The sequence below is a fragment of the Homo sapiens genome, chromosome 17 (assembly GCF_000001405.40).
Source record: "Homo sapiens chromosome 17, GRCh38.p14 Primary Assembly".
Classification (NCBI taxonomy): Eukaryota; Metazoa; Chordata; class Mammalia; order Primates; family Hominidae; genus Homo; species Homo sapiens.
The window spans coordinates 65874800-65889758 of record NC_000017.11 but is presented as its reverse complement, the minus strand read 5'-3'; the positions used below and the strand labels follow the sequence as shown (position 1 = coordinate 65889758).

Sequence of the window (14959 nt, the reverse complement as noted above, 5' to 3'; positions counted from 1 at the left end):
AGGACGTTTATGTGTTGATGCTACTTAAGCAAGCAGAAGTATAGGACTGACTTCAAAGGACAGCTCTCCATCTCTATTGAAAATAAGATTAAAGAATCATGAGCATGGAGGGTAATGGATACCAACAGTGAAGATGAGATCTCCTATGGAGGGAAAGAGAATTAGAAGAAGAGACACACTGCTTAAAGAGAAGGTGAAGGAAATAGAGCTGGACAAGAAGACTAAGAAAGTGGGAAGGTAGGTCAAGAGAGAGAGGCAGGGAACCATGAGAAAGTGGTATTTCATGAGCCAGGAAAAAAGTAACAATAATACCTAACTCGTGGATTATTGTGAGAATTTGGAATGGGCAAATGCTTCTGAATAACCCTGTCAATATTAGTTTATTTTCTCGAGTTGTGAATTGTGGTTATACATAAATGGACTACTACACCAAATGAACAGCAGTCCATGAACACTGGCTGTTTCTCACCTAATTCTGAAGTGGTTGTGGGCTGTGAGATCAGGGAGTCCATTTTAGAGGTGGAAAACGAGATCCAGTTGAAGGAAGCAACTCGGGCCATTACTGACAGACACAGGCATGATTTTCAGGCAGCAGTAAACCGGGCTTGTTTAGTGATATGGGGAGGATCAATACAACACCCAACCAGTCCAGCATCTCCAGTCCTATGGTTGCTCCTGAGACCAGTAAGGTTTCATGTCCACAGAGAACTTTGCCAATTAGGTACTAAGAAAGCCTTCACGCCTCACCTAGGGAAGCAGGGATTAACTGGCAGGATCACCCAATGAAGCACAAACTCAATTCTGACAGGAAAAAAGGAATAGGTTTTGCCTGGGCCTATCTAAGAGCCAAGAGTTTGAGGAGCTGATCAGCGGGAGAACATATCTTGGATCAGCTAATGGGAGATAAGGAGCTTCCAACCACAAGCTGCATGGAAGCTCCTCTAAAATGCCCAGATTCCTAGACTGAGTCACTCGGTTTTAAGAATGCTCCTACCCCACATACTTTACTGTGCCCGGAATCTGTCCATTACATTGCTTGAAGTATCTCTAAGTAGAATTTGTTTGGGCTGAGTAACATTCTGTCTCTTGCTTGCCCTTTTCTTGATTTTAATTTAATGCATTTGCCTTGAATAAGTAACTCATGAATGCATTCCAAAATTCAAAATGGATAAATATATACAGTAAAATGGATACCTGAATAGATAATTCCTGAACAGTATTAAAACTTAAATGAATAATGATATATGGTAAAAAAAAAAGATCATCTTAAAGATGAAATTGAATCTTCTTTCATTGATCTCTTTGTTCCTTCATTTGTTGAACACCTTTGTGTAGCAGTCACTGCGCTAAGAGGAGGTATACAAAAACAAGACAAAGGCCTCCCCTGCAAGGATTCTTAGCAGAAAATTTAGCAAGTGGATGTAGCATGATAAGTAGGATAAAGGCTATCTGCCCTGTACCCCAAGCCAGAAGACTGATTGCCTGAAGGAAACGGGGGAGTCTTCATAGCAAAGGGAAGATCTGAACAACATTGAATTGGGCAGGAAAATAGCTATTGTACGTACCATATTGTGAAATTATTTCTAATTAAATTGCTCTCATCAAGCTGAAATCCATTACACTCAAGAAATGGGAGTTCTGATGTATGGAAAGACTGTAAAGGGAGAAGGAAGAGTGATATTGCCGGAAGATAACCTCCTGGTGGGATGCCCTGGGGGAGTTTTTGGAAGACGTGGACATCTGGAGGTGGGTTGGAGCAAGGCAAGAAAAAAAACAGGGAAGTGCAAACAAGGGGGTAGAAAGACGCTTAAGGCAAACTTTACCTGCTTTGAAATTGTCCCCAGTGTTAGTGATACAAAACTATAGTCACATAGAGACCTGAAAGAGGAAACACCCCCTCCATGAGGAAGGTAAACCCCAAGATGCTCCTGTTTCCAGAGAAAGCCTGAGGGGTGGCAAGAGGACTGCAGGTCAGCTTCTTCAGGATCAGGCTGCAGGGCTCCTGCCTGCTGCAAGATCTGCTCTCTCTGGGTTGGGGGCACTGCCTACTCCACCTCTCTGCTTCCTAGGTCTCTTGCCTGATCTTGCGTGAGAATATTATCTCTCTCCTGCATCCCTGCCTGAGCCCTAGCACCGCATTTGCTGAGCTGCTTCCATGGGTGTGCTTGTAGCACTGGGCTGAAGGTTAGATGTCAGACACAAACAGGTGTATGCTTGCAGGTTTGACCAGTCATGGTCATATAAGATTACAACATAAGGATGGAGACAGTACTTAAAATCTATTGGTCCTGAAGCGGTGGGAAATGTCAACATCCACTTTTAAAAGAATGGTTATTCTCATTAAAATGTGATTTTGTGATATATAAACATTTTCAATCAGAAAATGGCCTAATTTAAAATTTTCTGTATATCATGTAGTTTGAGAAAGGAACAATATTACGTGCTAGACACCTTCACATGCTTTCTGGGAGGAGGCACTTATGTATTGTCTCAGTTTTTACAGGTGGGAAGACAGACCCAAGCTATGCAGCTCTGAAGTGCAAGGGCTAGGATGTGAACCCGAATGTGTCTCACTTCAAAGCCATGAACTCTGTCTCCCCTGCACCTCATCATGGTTATAAGTTACAGGCATATCCATTGGTGGGGAAACCTGTTTTTTTTTTCTTGCTACTACTCACTAGAGACTTGTGGTTAACATTCATGAATATTGTGAGGGCAATTTCACAGAACAAATCAAATTGACATGTTAGAACTATTTAGAAGGGCATATAGTTTGGAAATACTCTAAGTCCCTCCCCCAAATCTTAGAAGAGTGTCCCCCAGCATTTTGCACATAGTATTCCAGCTCGTTTTTTTGAGTAAGCATTAATGTTATATTATAGTTATAGCTGCATTTTTTTCCCCTAAGCAACCCTTTCTCTTCTGAACCCTATGGCAGCCCGCGGTTGTGTAGATTGAGCTCAGGAATGTCTTAAAACATTAATTTGGTTTGACATGACTTGGTGCACAAATTAATTATTCAGGCACATATTGTTCCATGTACATGAAAAGAATGAAACTGTAGTGAATTGCATTTTAACTACCACATGTGAATTGTAATGTTATTAGCAAACAGACTATTAAAGAACAAAAGCTGGCAACATATAGTAATTCCGAATTGGGCCAGTCCCACAAAATTAGCATAAATATGTCAATCAATCAGAATAGTTTTGGACTTCCTAGGAAAGTGTCCCTATTCTTATCTAGCTCTAAAAGAATGTGAAATAAACTATTCATTTAACCAAGTATAAAAATATGCCTGCTATGCCGTTATAATCATGTGTCATTAATCAGAAAATACTGCAGAAACTCTGACAAATTAAAAACACAAGGATGTGTCTGCAAGGGTTTTTTTAGCCATTAAAAAGCTGCTTCACCTCTCTGGCAAGCTCTTTTATGGCAACTTCTTACTCAGTGTACTGACATCTTCAAAGGCTCTGACATCTGTCAGCCTTTGAACTACCATTAAAAAATATTATCCCATTTCCATTCTTTTATGCCCATTTTTTTAATTATAGCCCCTCTTTCAAGTTAGGAACATGGTTGGTTTAAATGATGCTGTCCTTTCGTTTTCAGCCACCCAGCTGCGGTTTGAATAAATTGATGTGGAACCAAAGGCGGGACTTTAAAGGGAAAAGGTTTGATGGACTTGGACTCCGAACCAGATGAGGTTTTATGATGAAAAGGGTTTAATCCCAGCACAGGCATTGCTTCTATCAGTTGAGCAGTACAAAGCAATTCATATATATAGGTTCACGTGAAATGATCTATTTTTTTTAACAGCACAGATCTCTTCAGGACTTGCAAATGTGGCATTAGCTAATATTCAGAGAGCTGATTTCCTTTCATCCACCAGAAGCTTATGATTATAGTACAGTTCTCGAATTGGAAATGAGAGCTGCAACACAGATTTAAAGCTGTGCTGTCTGATTTGTATTCAATATACCTGTCACTGCAGGACAGGCTAGTCTGGGCCAAGCTGGTTCAATACAAGGAAAAACAGTTTCATCATCTGAGAGTCTTAGTCAGAAATATCACCAGCTAATTAAAACAGCAGTCTCATGACTATTAGTGAGGTGTTTGGTTGATTGGTGTCTCTTCAAATTTGACAAGAAAGATTTGAAGATGCAGCTTCTCTTTTATTACATATTCTTCTTGCAGTGTAAATGTGTTGAAGTACATTGCAGGGTAATGAAGCATAGGCAGTTAATTCAAACCGTTTTTTTTTTAAAAAGGAAAACAACATAACTTTAAAACAATGACTTGTTTTGCATTAAAATAGTTCCCCTTACTCTGCTATTGATCTGGAAAAAAGTCATTTATGAAAGCAGATTTCAACATCGTCTTTGCCCTGTTGCTGTTGAATGATAAATATTATCTTCAGCCAAATAGTTAAGTAACTGAATGAGTAGTTTAGGGACATTACAAACCTAGAAGATAAACCCAAGTTCACTTTAAAGTAAAAAGTGATAATTTTTAATGTTCTAAATATAAATCAGTATAAATAATCTCAATCCATTAGAAAATTTTCTCAAGATAATCTGCACCTGCTTTTATATTAGAAATCTGCTATTTCTCAGAATATAAAAATCGTTCTTCCATTTACTTGGGAGGTTAGGTACCATTTAATTGTGCAGACTTAATAATTATACAACATTCTTTTCAAGCTCTTCAAATAGGATTTTTATTTGAAACTACAAACTAGGCCGGGCGCGATGGCTCACACCTGTAATCCCAGCACTTTGGGAGGCCGAGGAGGGTGGATCACCTGAGGTCAGGAGTTCAAGACCAGCCTGACCAACATGGAGAAACCCTGTCTCTACTAAAAATACAAAATTAGCCAGGGTGGTGGCACATGCCTGTAATCCCAGCTACTCAGGAGGCTGAGGCAGGAGAATTGCTTGAACCCAGGAGGCGGAGGTTGTGGTGAGCTGAGATGGCGCCCTTGCACTCCAGCCTGGACAACAAGAGCAAAACTCCGTCTCAAAAAAAAAAAAAAAGAAAAAAAAAAAAGAAACTACAAACTAATATCCAAACTATAGTTGGAATAAATTCCGAATATGTATAGTTTTAAATTTGCAAAACATTAACTGTTGGGAAAAGTCCTATAGATGACTGTCTATAGCCTACCTCATATTCTAGAATGTTTCATAGACTTGTCTTTCCCTCTTTAGAAGAAAACCTGAAATAAGACACTTTTGTATAGGATGTATCAGGAAATATATTTTACCTACTCCTTACATATTTTCTGTAGATATGTAAGAGTTTACTGAATTACATGGAAGAAGTTGGATTTCTCACAGTATAATTCTGTTCACTCTGTAATTCTGTTTTAGTTCCCTCTTTTTTATTACCCTGACTAGCTAGTCTTCATTGCTTTTCACCAGGTAGCTAGATATTCATCACTGCAAATAACGCTTTCATGCTGTCTTACCAAATTATCTGTATCTTCCCAGTTTTCCTCCTGCTTCTTCCACTTCTACTTCTCCACGTTAGTTTCTGTTTTCTCCACTAGCTCCTCTGTTTCACGTTGAACACTGGAGTCTACCCCCACTTTTTTTTCTGTATTCATGTTTCTGTTAAGTGATTACCTGCATTTCAGTGGCCTTAACAACTATATGCTAATAACCTTCAAGTTCCCGTCTCTCATCTGTGTTCTGTGCTCTTGACATCTTCTATTAGCTTGTTCACAAACACCTCAAACTTCATAGGTCCAGAACTGAAGCCTCTCCCTCCCAACCTCCCTATGTACCGTACATTCAGTGCTCAAGGCAGAACTTGGAAATAATTCTTGATTTTTTTCCTTTCTCTTAACCTGTCAGTAAATTCTATAGATTCAGTCCCCCAAATTGATCTCCAATCCATTCACTTTATTCACTGCCACCCACTCCTCTAGTCCAGGCCTCTATGTAATCTTATAACTGATAATCTTGCCTTATCTCTTATTTTTCTCAACAGACATGATGATCTTTTTCAAAATGTACATTGGGTTAGAAAACTCCCCTGCTTAAAATCCTTTCATAGCTTGCACTTAGAGTAAAATATAAACTTCTGGCTGGGCACGGTGGCTCACGCCTGTAATCCCAACACTTTGGGAGGCCAAGGAAGGCAGGCAGATCATGAGGTCAGAAGTTAGAGACCAGCCTGGGCAACATGGTGAAGCCCTGTCTCTACTAAAAAAAGTACAAAACATTAGCTGGGCATGGTGGCAGATGCCTGTAATCCCAGCTACTTGGGAGGCTGGGGCAGGAGAATCACTTGAACCCAGGAGGCGGAGGTTACAGTGAGCCAAGATTATGCCATTGCACTCCAGCCTGGGTGACAGAGCAAGACTCTGTCTTGGGGAAAAAATGTATGTGTGTGTATACACACACATATACATCATATATATACGAAGTATATAGATGAAGTGTGTGTGTGTATATATATATACACTTCATATATATATATATATATGTAAACTTCTTAGCATGAGCTGCAATACCTTGTATGATCTGACCTAATTGTTACCTTCCCAGCATCTTCTTTTGCTGTGTTCTATCAGAGCACCTTGTTTGTGAACTTCATAACACTTTTTTCCATTTAAATTGCAGATTTATTATTCTATTTGTTTGTTCCACCCAGAGACTGAAACAAAAGAGACCTTACTAATTTTCCTCACTTCTGTATACCCTATGCCTAAAAGGTTCCTAGTACAGACTGTGACCTCAGCAAACATATGCATGTGGCTGTATTAATGAAGGCAGATTCACTGATGAATTAGAGCCACAGAAAAGCCAAGGAAGGGCCCCTTGAGGAGTCAAACTAAGAGTTGAGTAGGGTCACAGGGAAGGAGGCTCACGGCTTGCTGTGCTCTCAGAGAAGCCACCAACTTGTTTTAGTGTTTTGGTTTTGTTTGTTTCCTCTTCAGTGGATGGTGGCTTTGCCAGTGTATTTATCATTCTCATCTCTTTGAGCTCTCACAAAATTTTTAACATACAGTGACAAAGACATATGTATAACATAAGCCTATACTTACTGTAATGTCATTATCCTGTGCATGTTTGTGTCTTCCAGAGGAGGGACTATATGTTGTCTGTTTTGAATCCCAATAACCTACTAGAGCACCTGGCCCAAGTGCCGATGCTTAATCAGTGAACGAGGGAACACAAATCAATACATTGAACTATGCTGCAGAGATTGCTTTAGATCTGGGCTTTGCTTGTTTCCATATCATATTTTTTAACCCTCAGATTTCTAAAATATGCAGAGATGGTCATTAAATCTCCAAATAATAATGATTTCCGAGAACCATTCTGGCAATATGATTAAAATGAAAGAATATTTGCCCAACATGTACTACGGGCCTTCTTAGTTTTAGGCACATTGCTAGCTGTTGAAGATGCCAAAATGAATAAGACCCACTTAATCCTAAGGGGCAAAAGGCAAAGAAGCATACATATAAAATTATGTGCTCAGTACAGTATTAGAGACGTAATCAGTTGAGATCAACCGTGAAGAAGGAGATGTAGGCCATTCTGGGAGCAGGCAGCAGGCAGAAGGGAGGTTCTGTTTTTCAGTAGTGCATGCCCTGTGGGCACTGCTCTTGTGGACTTTAGTTTCAGTCAAAACGAGTATAATTTTCCCCCTTTATTACTCCTTTAATGTTTTTCAGTAAGTACAAAATTATTTTACTTCCATATAATTTCTCCCTGTGGAGGCTACCATGTCCATGAAAAGCAGGAACACAGTCAAAAGTCCCATATTTCCTTCTTTGCTAAAAGCTACCACAATCAACCAAGGAGTGAATTGTGCTACTGATTCCGCAGTGAGGGAACAGTAGTATTCCTACACAGTTTTAATTTCTCCTCCAAAGTTTATGTTGAAATCCTCAAAATGCAGTTCAGAATAGAGAATGCTTTTAATTTTGTGGTCTCCTTGTAGTGATTCTTGAGATTGATGTGGTTTGACTTTTTAGGTACTTCTCTGGTACATAAACTAAATTCAGTATTTAGAGATATTTCTCTTATACCATTGGCATGTTGTCATTATGAGGATGAATGTGGTATTTGTGTCATGGGGCACTGCTGTACCACAGAGCCATCACTTGTTCTTTTTATCCATGTCCAGTGGGTATGATGTTATAATTGAGGATAGTTAATTGACAAAAGATTGTCTGAGATCATCTTCAGAAACCTCTTTAGCTCTTTCCAAGGCAATAAATTAACTTTTAAGGGATAAAATAATAAGATGGTTGTTTGAAGCTATGTCTGATGGCCAAGGGGAAAACATGCAACATGAATGTATGTGTATGTGCATACACACACACACACACACACCTGTTTTCTGCTTTGCCTCTGAAGTTAATGTGTAAAACTTGGCTGTGCCTGTTCTCATAAAAATGATGAAAAAGGAAAAATTCATCAGCTATAAAAAAAAAGTAGCATTCCTCCATGTTCCAGAGAGCGTTTGACTTTCCATTCCATTTTTGTGGGGGTTTGTTTGGGTGTTTGTTTATTTGTTTGAGACAGAGTCTCTCTCTGTCGCCCAGGCTGGAGTGCAGTGGCGCTATCTCGGCTCACTGCAAACTCCGCCTCCCAGGTTCAAGTGTGATTCTCCTGCCTCAGCCTCCCGAGTAGCTGGGACTACAAGCGCATGCCAGCATGCCTGGCTAATTTTTTGTATTTTAGTAGAGACAGGGTTTCACTGCGTCAGCCAGGATGGTCTGGATCTCCTGACCTTGTGATCTGCCCTCCTTGACCTCCCAAAGTGCTGGGATTACAGGTATGAGCCACCACACCTGGCCCATTTTTGTGTTTTTATCATAATTATAGGCTTTCTCATTTGAAATTGAGTTCATTTTGGAATTAATAAGTGTTGCTCCTTTATTAGGTAAAGACCCGAGGTTGAACAATCAAAAGATTTTATTGCTTGAATAAAAAACATTCAGACGTTTAACTGATGTTGAGCACTGGCCACATGTGTCCATACTCTGGTCAGAGGTGTGAGCTAGCCCCAGCCTCAGAGCACGTCTTCACACCTCACAATTACAAGGTGGTTCATTGCCTCTGTCAGTTATGTTCTAACTCTAAATCAAGGAACTTAGCAGACAAGGAACTCAGAAAGCAGACAATGCTACCTTCTTTAGAAGAGACCATGAGCCTAACTTAGAAAGGTCTTTGATAGTAAATAGTCATCACATTTTACAAGAAAGAAGTCATAGCTTGCACAGTCAGTTGAATTAATGGAAACTGCCTTCAGCACATTGTCTGCCTCCATAAGATAGCCCCCCCCATTTTTTAAATTTGATGTTTGTTGGTTTTTAACCTGTTTTTAATACATATGTTCTTGAAAATAGTATTTGCTCATAGTAACAGAAATCGTGATGATATCCATTATCATGACTTTATCTCATATTTTAAAGAAGTCCCTGTCTCCATAGTAAGATGAGAAAAAATAAGGTAAGATTGGAAATCAAGAAACAGAACTATTGTTATTATAGGTCATCTAAATAATAGTTTGACAGTTCCTAAATCTATTAACAATTAGGCAAAATAACTAGATATAAAATCAATTCTGTATACAAAATCAACTGTATTTTTATACATGAGTAACAATATACAACATATTTTTTAAAAAATACCGTTTACAATAGCACAAAACCACAAGGTTCCCAGAAATAAATCTAACAAAATATGTGGGCTTCTAAAGTTTCATTATTGATGTGACTTGGTACAGGTTCCTTTCCATGTCTGGAAAATTCCCCTGGATGATTTCTTTGATAATTTTTCTATCCTAGCTTTGTTGTTGTTTATTGTCTTTTCTGGGCTTCTGTCAGTTGTATATTGAACCTCCTGGATTTGCCTGCATGACTTTTTTTTTTTTTTTGCAAATTTTTTTTTTCATTTTGTCTTTTCACTCAATGTTTTTTTAGATTTGCTTTCCCTTATGTGCTGGAATCATATTTTTAAACTTGAAAAGATCTGTTTGTACTTTTCCTATTTCTTTTTCAGAGCATCTTGTTTTCATTTAATAAATATAATAAATTTTCCTCTTTCCAAGTTTATGAATTAGACTGCTTTTTAAGTTCTATTCTCTGAAATATCTCTTTCCTTCAGGGTTGGTTTTTCTGTTTATCTTTCATAGTTATTTGTCTTGGCTTTTCTTATCTGCTCGATGATTCTTGCTTTTGAGTCACATTTACGAAAGGGAAATGGTATTAGTTTCCTATTGCTATTGTAACAAATTACCACAAGCTTTGTACCTGGAAAGAACAGAAATTTGTTAATTTACAGGTCTGAAGGTGAGAAATCTGAAATTAGTCTTACAAAACTAAAATGAAGTTGTTGGAAGCCTTGGCTCCTTCTGGAGGTTCCAGGGGAAAAAAGTATGTTTCCTTGACTTTCCAGCCTCTACAGGCCCACAGCATTCCTGCTTGCAGCCCTATGTCATGTCACCTGTCCTCTTGGTGCTGTCATTGTCACAATGCCTTCTTTCTGACCCTGTCATTCCTGGCCTCGCTGTGATATGGACCCTCATGATTACGATTACCTTGGGCCTACAACATAATTCAGGGGAATTTCCCATCTCAAAATCATTGATTTAATCATATTTGCTGAGTCCCTTTTCACATATAAGGTAACATTTTGGGAAAGGGATGCATTATTCAGTTTACGCAGATGGGATAGTGATTTGTTGTGTAAATGGAGTTTCTTTTCTGTCCCTCCTCCCAATATATCTCTCCCTGAGTGGGAATTTAGAGTGAGTTCTGGTTTTGGGGGAATAGATGTGTTAGAATTCAGGCCCCTTAAGGGCTGGAATGAAGAGAGGCTTTATTCTGGGGTTGTAGAAGCCATACTAGAAGCTGTGGGTTTTCCCAGATTGTTCATTCCATTTTTTTTTTTTTTAGGGAAGAGCCTTCTGTTTTTCACCTGGACTGCCTACAATCTGTAGGTTGGGGTGGGTCCAACCCCTCTGTATGCAGGCTTTTGGGGGCTCGTCCTTATTTTCACTTCTCACTGTTTTCTCCATCTTTATAGTACCAGAGCCCAGAGCCTCTTGAGAATGTGTGATAGCTAAATGGGCTCCTAGATCTGCTGAAGCCTCCCCACTAGTTCCGGCTTTCACAGCATGTTCCATTCCTCAACACCTCGATATTGTCCTATTTTCTCTCCTCCAAAAGTGGTGGAAAGCTGTTCTTAACTGATGAGTGTCCCCCAAACACGCCTGTCCCATTTTTTGTCTTTATGGTTGGCTTTGTTTTGTACATATATCATTTTGTTTTACTCAAGGTCGCTTAGCAGTTCACTAAATTGGTTAAAGGTCACTAAAAGCAGACTTTTAAAAAATGTGTATATTTGCTTCATCATTTTTTCAGCTTCATTGGGGGTATAATTGACAAATAGCTTTATATGTTTAAGATGCATAATTTGATGTTTTAGCATACATATACATTGTGGAATAATCACCACAATCAAGCTAATTGACACATCCGACATCTCACAGTTTCCCTTCTTCCCTCCCTCCCTTCCTTCCTTCCTTCTTTTTTTGCAATGAGAACAGGTAAGATCTACCCTCATAACAAATTTCAAGTATACAAAACAGTATTGTTAATTATAGTCACATTGGTATATATTAGATCTCCAGAACTTATTCATCTTGTGTAATTGAAACAGTATCATTTGACCAACACTTCCCAATGCTCCCTGGAATGAGGAGTTGCCTATTCTGTTCTCTGTTTCTATCAGTTTTACTATTTTAGAGTCCACATATAAGTGGCATCATATAGTATTTGTCTGTCTGTGTCTGGCTTTTTTCACTTGGCGTAATATCCTCCAGGTTCATCCATTTTTGTCACAAATATGAAGAAATTTAAGGGTGAATAATATTCCATTGTGTATATGTGTACATCTCATATCACATCACATAATTTCATGCCTACTAATTTTTAAACTAATGGCCATAGAAATCGACTGGAATGAAGGATAACTAGATATATTCATAGAAATCAGCCTACCATTTTCCTTTGCAGTTTTACATAGTGTTTTTTTACATAGTGTTCTTACATAGGGTTTTTACATAGTGTTACATAGTGTTACAAAGAACCTTATTAAGAGCTTCAGTTTGCATGGTATTGTCTTAGTTTTGGGTTATTCTAGAAATAGAGTCCCTGAGACCATTTATGGCAAATTGTAGGAGTCTGAAGTGAGGGAATGAGGAGAGTGAGACAGAAAAGGGAGAACAACAAATAAAGGGTGCCTCCTTGAGCAAGCTACTACTTTAAGAGTAAGGGAGACTCCATTCCACTGAGGACCCCTGGGTAATCTTTTAGAATGTACACAGAGTTGTCCCACCAAAGAAAGGGAGTCTACAGCACTTAACCCTGGACTTCCAGCTCTTTGTGTTTGAGGGTGCTCCCAAAGGGCATCTGCCCCTGCATTTCCTGGCCACACTTGTTCTTCCTGCATGGCCCTGCACTTCCTGCCTCTTCCTGTACTTCCTGGTCACACCTGCACTTGGGCTTAGCAGGCTTCCCTGGGTTTGGAGAAAGCCCAAGGTGGGAAAACTGGATTAGATTTGAATTGCAGCTGGACTGCAATCAGACAGAGGGCTGGGCCGCAATCAGGCAGTAAACCCCTTACCAAGCCGACTCTAGCCACACACACGTGCAGAGCTTCTCATCTGCATTTTACTGCCTTGAATAGGAACAGATAATCGCAGATTATCTGAAGTTTAAGGCTGGCCTGAGAGGCATGAGAAAGACTAAACAAACAGATGATCACAGAGAAAAAACAAGAACCTCAGGATACAAAAAAGAAGATTTAAGGAAAGCAAAACTGAAATATCGAAAATGATATAATATTCATAAAAGAAGAACAGGCTGCTCTGAAAATGTAACAATCAAAATAAGAAGGGGCTCTTAGAAATTAAATTTTTTTAAAGGCCAGCCAAAATTGATATCAAGAATATTTTTCACAAAACAGAACAACAAGCAGAGACAAAAATAGAGTGTAAAAATATATTTCAAAAATCTAAGACATTGATGATTAATCCAAGATGTTCAAGAAACAGAAAATGTAGTGGAGGAATTAGCTACATAATAATGATAGTGAAGTCAATGAAGTTACAGGGCCGAAGGGTATAGGTCTATAGGTTGAAAAGGTTAATAAGTACCAGCATCACAAAAGAAAAGGTCCATGTCTCCACATATCATTGCTACATTTCAGAACAGAAGGAATAAAAGAGAGATCCCAAAAACTCCCAGAGGAAAATCAGGTCCTCTATGTAGGAACAAGATAGATTGGCATCAGATTTCAAATAATAAATGGTAAAAGAGAAAAATGCCTTTATTAGAACTATGAAAAGGAAAAATTACAAGTCAGACTTCTATACATAAGCCAATATTCAATATTGTATAGAAATCTCAGGTTGGATAAGACGTTACAAGCATGCAAGGATTTGGAAAGTTTATTTTCTGCATTTCTTTGGAGGTTGTATGGATGTTCTTAAATAAAATGGAGGAATAAATATGAAAGAGAAATACAGAAGATTCGTTGAACAGTGGATCTTGTCCAGGAGAAGAGAAGAGAAAAGTTGCACAGTATAGCTGTGCAGTGAGTCTGGAAAGAACATCCAGTCCAGATTGGAACAGAAGTGGAGTGTGAGGAAGAAGACTCTAGATACTATTCATGAGAATTCTCAACAATGTTAGGAGGCAGTAAAAGCAGAAAATGCAAGGGAGAAAGAAGAAAATTAGAAGCCTCAGGAGAAACAAAAAACTGCCAGAAACAAGGTGTAGTTATGTAACATATTATCTGGTTGTGTTTTGAATAATGATTAGACTCTACGTATTAAATTTCACATTTTGAAATCAGTTTATACATGAAACATAGAAAATATACTCATGGTTACAGACACAACATAAATGTTTCCAACTTTAACCAAAGTGCAGGTAACAGAAGTGAAAATTTAGATAATAGGGGTTGTGAGAATGAATAGGCCAAATGAAGTTTAGGCAGTACTAATATTCTCATTGCGTGAAGTGAGGAATTAAAAGATGCTACATAATTTCTGGAAAAATGAAAGTTTAGTTATTCTATTGAAAGTTATAGAAATAACCAATAAGAGAATTAAAAATTGTGACACAACTGTATTTTGAAGTGAAAAAGAGTAAATGGTGTAAGTAAACTAAATATTTTTTATAGCAGAAAATCAATGGATTGTGAATAAATTAATTTATGAAGTACGTAAAGGTATTAAGGTCACGATCATCAGAGTTGAAAACAGATAACTGAAAGAATAAAATGTGTCTGCCTCTGGGGAGTGACTTGCAGATGGGTAGTCATAAGTCATAATGTAATGGTTTTATTAAGGGCATTTCTATACTACTTGGTTTGATTATGTGTATTTTTAAATTAAAACAAACATTCAGTGGAAAAAGTTTGTAAAGAAAACTTTTGGCAATGCATTGGTCTAACTGTTCTTTTTCTATTTGTGTCAACTTTCCTGATATGTTCCAAAGAATTATATTCTGTGGTTTGGACAAATTTCTGACTAAATAATTCATCATCAATTTTTTTTCAGAGAAATTTGGAGATATTTAAAAGACATTTTAGGTCTCTATCTGATGTTTTGGAATACAGCTATCTTGCCTTCTGTAAAACATTTTTTGATACCATCATTTACTATGTTCTTATGAGAATGGTCAGTAAGATATATCTACTGTCAGTGGAACAAAGGTATATACATTTTAGGGTTAAGAAGACAAGGATAAGTATCATTTAGGTAATTACTGTCATGAACAGTTAAGGTAGCATAGGGAAACCATAGATACTTTAACAAAGATTGACACATTTTTGATTACGATGTAAAGAATAATTTACAGGCATAGTTTTGTCAATATAGAGAATACATTAGATAATCCTTGTAATATAGTTGTCTA

General features: G+C 38.1%; 1 protein-coding gene and 1 long non-coding RNA gene across 22 annotated transcripts in view; one reads left to right on the top strand and one right to left on the bottom strand.

Moving 5' to 3' along the window:
• The window catches only part of LOC105371867 (uncharacterized), a 34476-nt gene extending 24042 nt beyond the window's left edge, over nt 1-10434 (bottom strand). The window contains exon 1 of the long non-coding RNA XR_001752977.3: nt 10347-10434. This is a non-coding gene — a long non-coding RNA (uncharacterized LOC105371867). The remainder of the gene's footprint in view (nt 1-10346) is intronic.
• CEP112 (centrosomal protein 112) overlaps nt 1-14959 on the top strand; it is a 556597-nt gene that overhangs the window by 302375 nt on the left and 239263 nt on the right. The window lies entirely within an intron of this gene.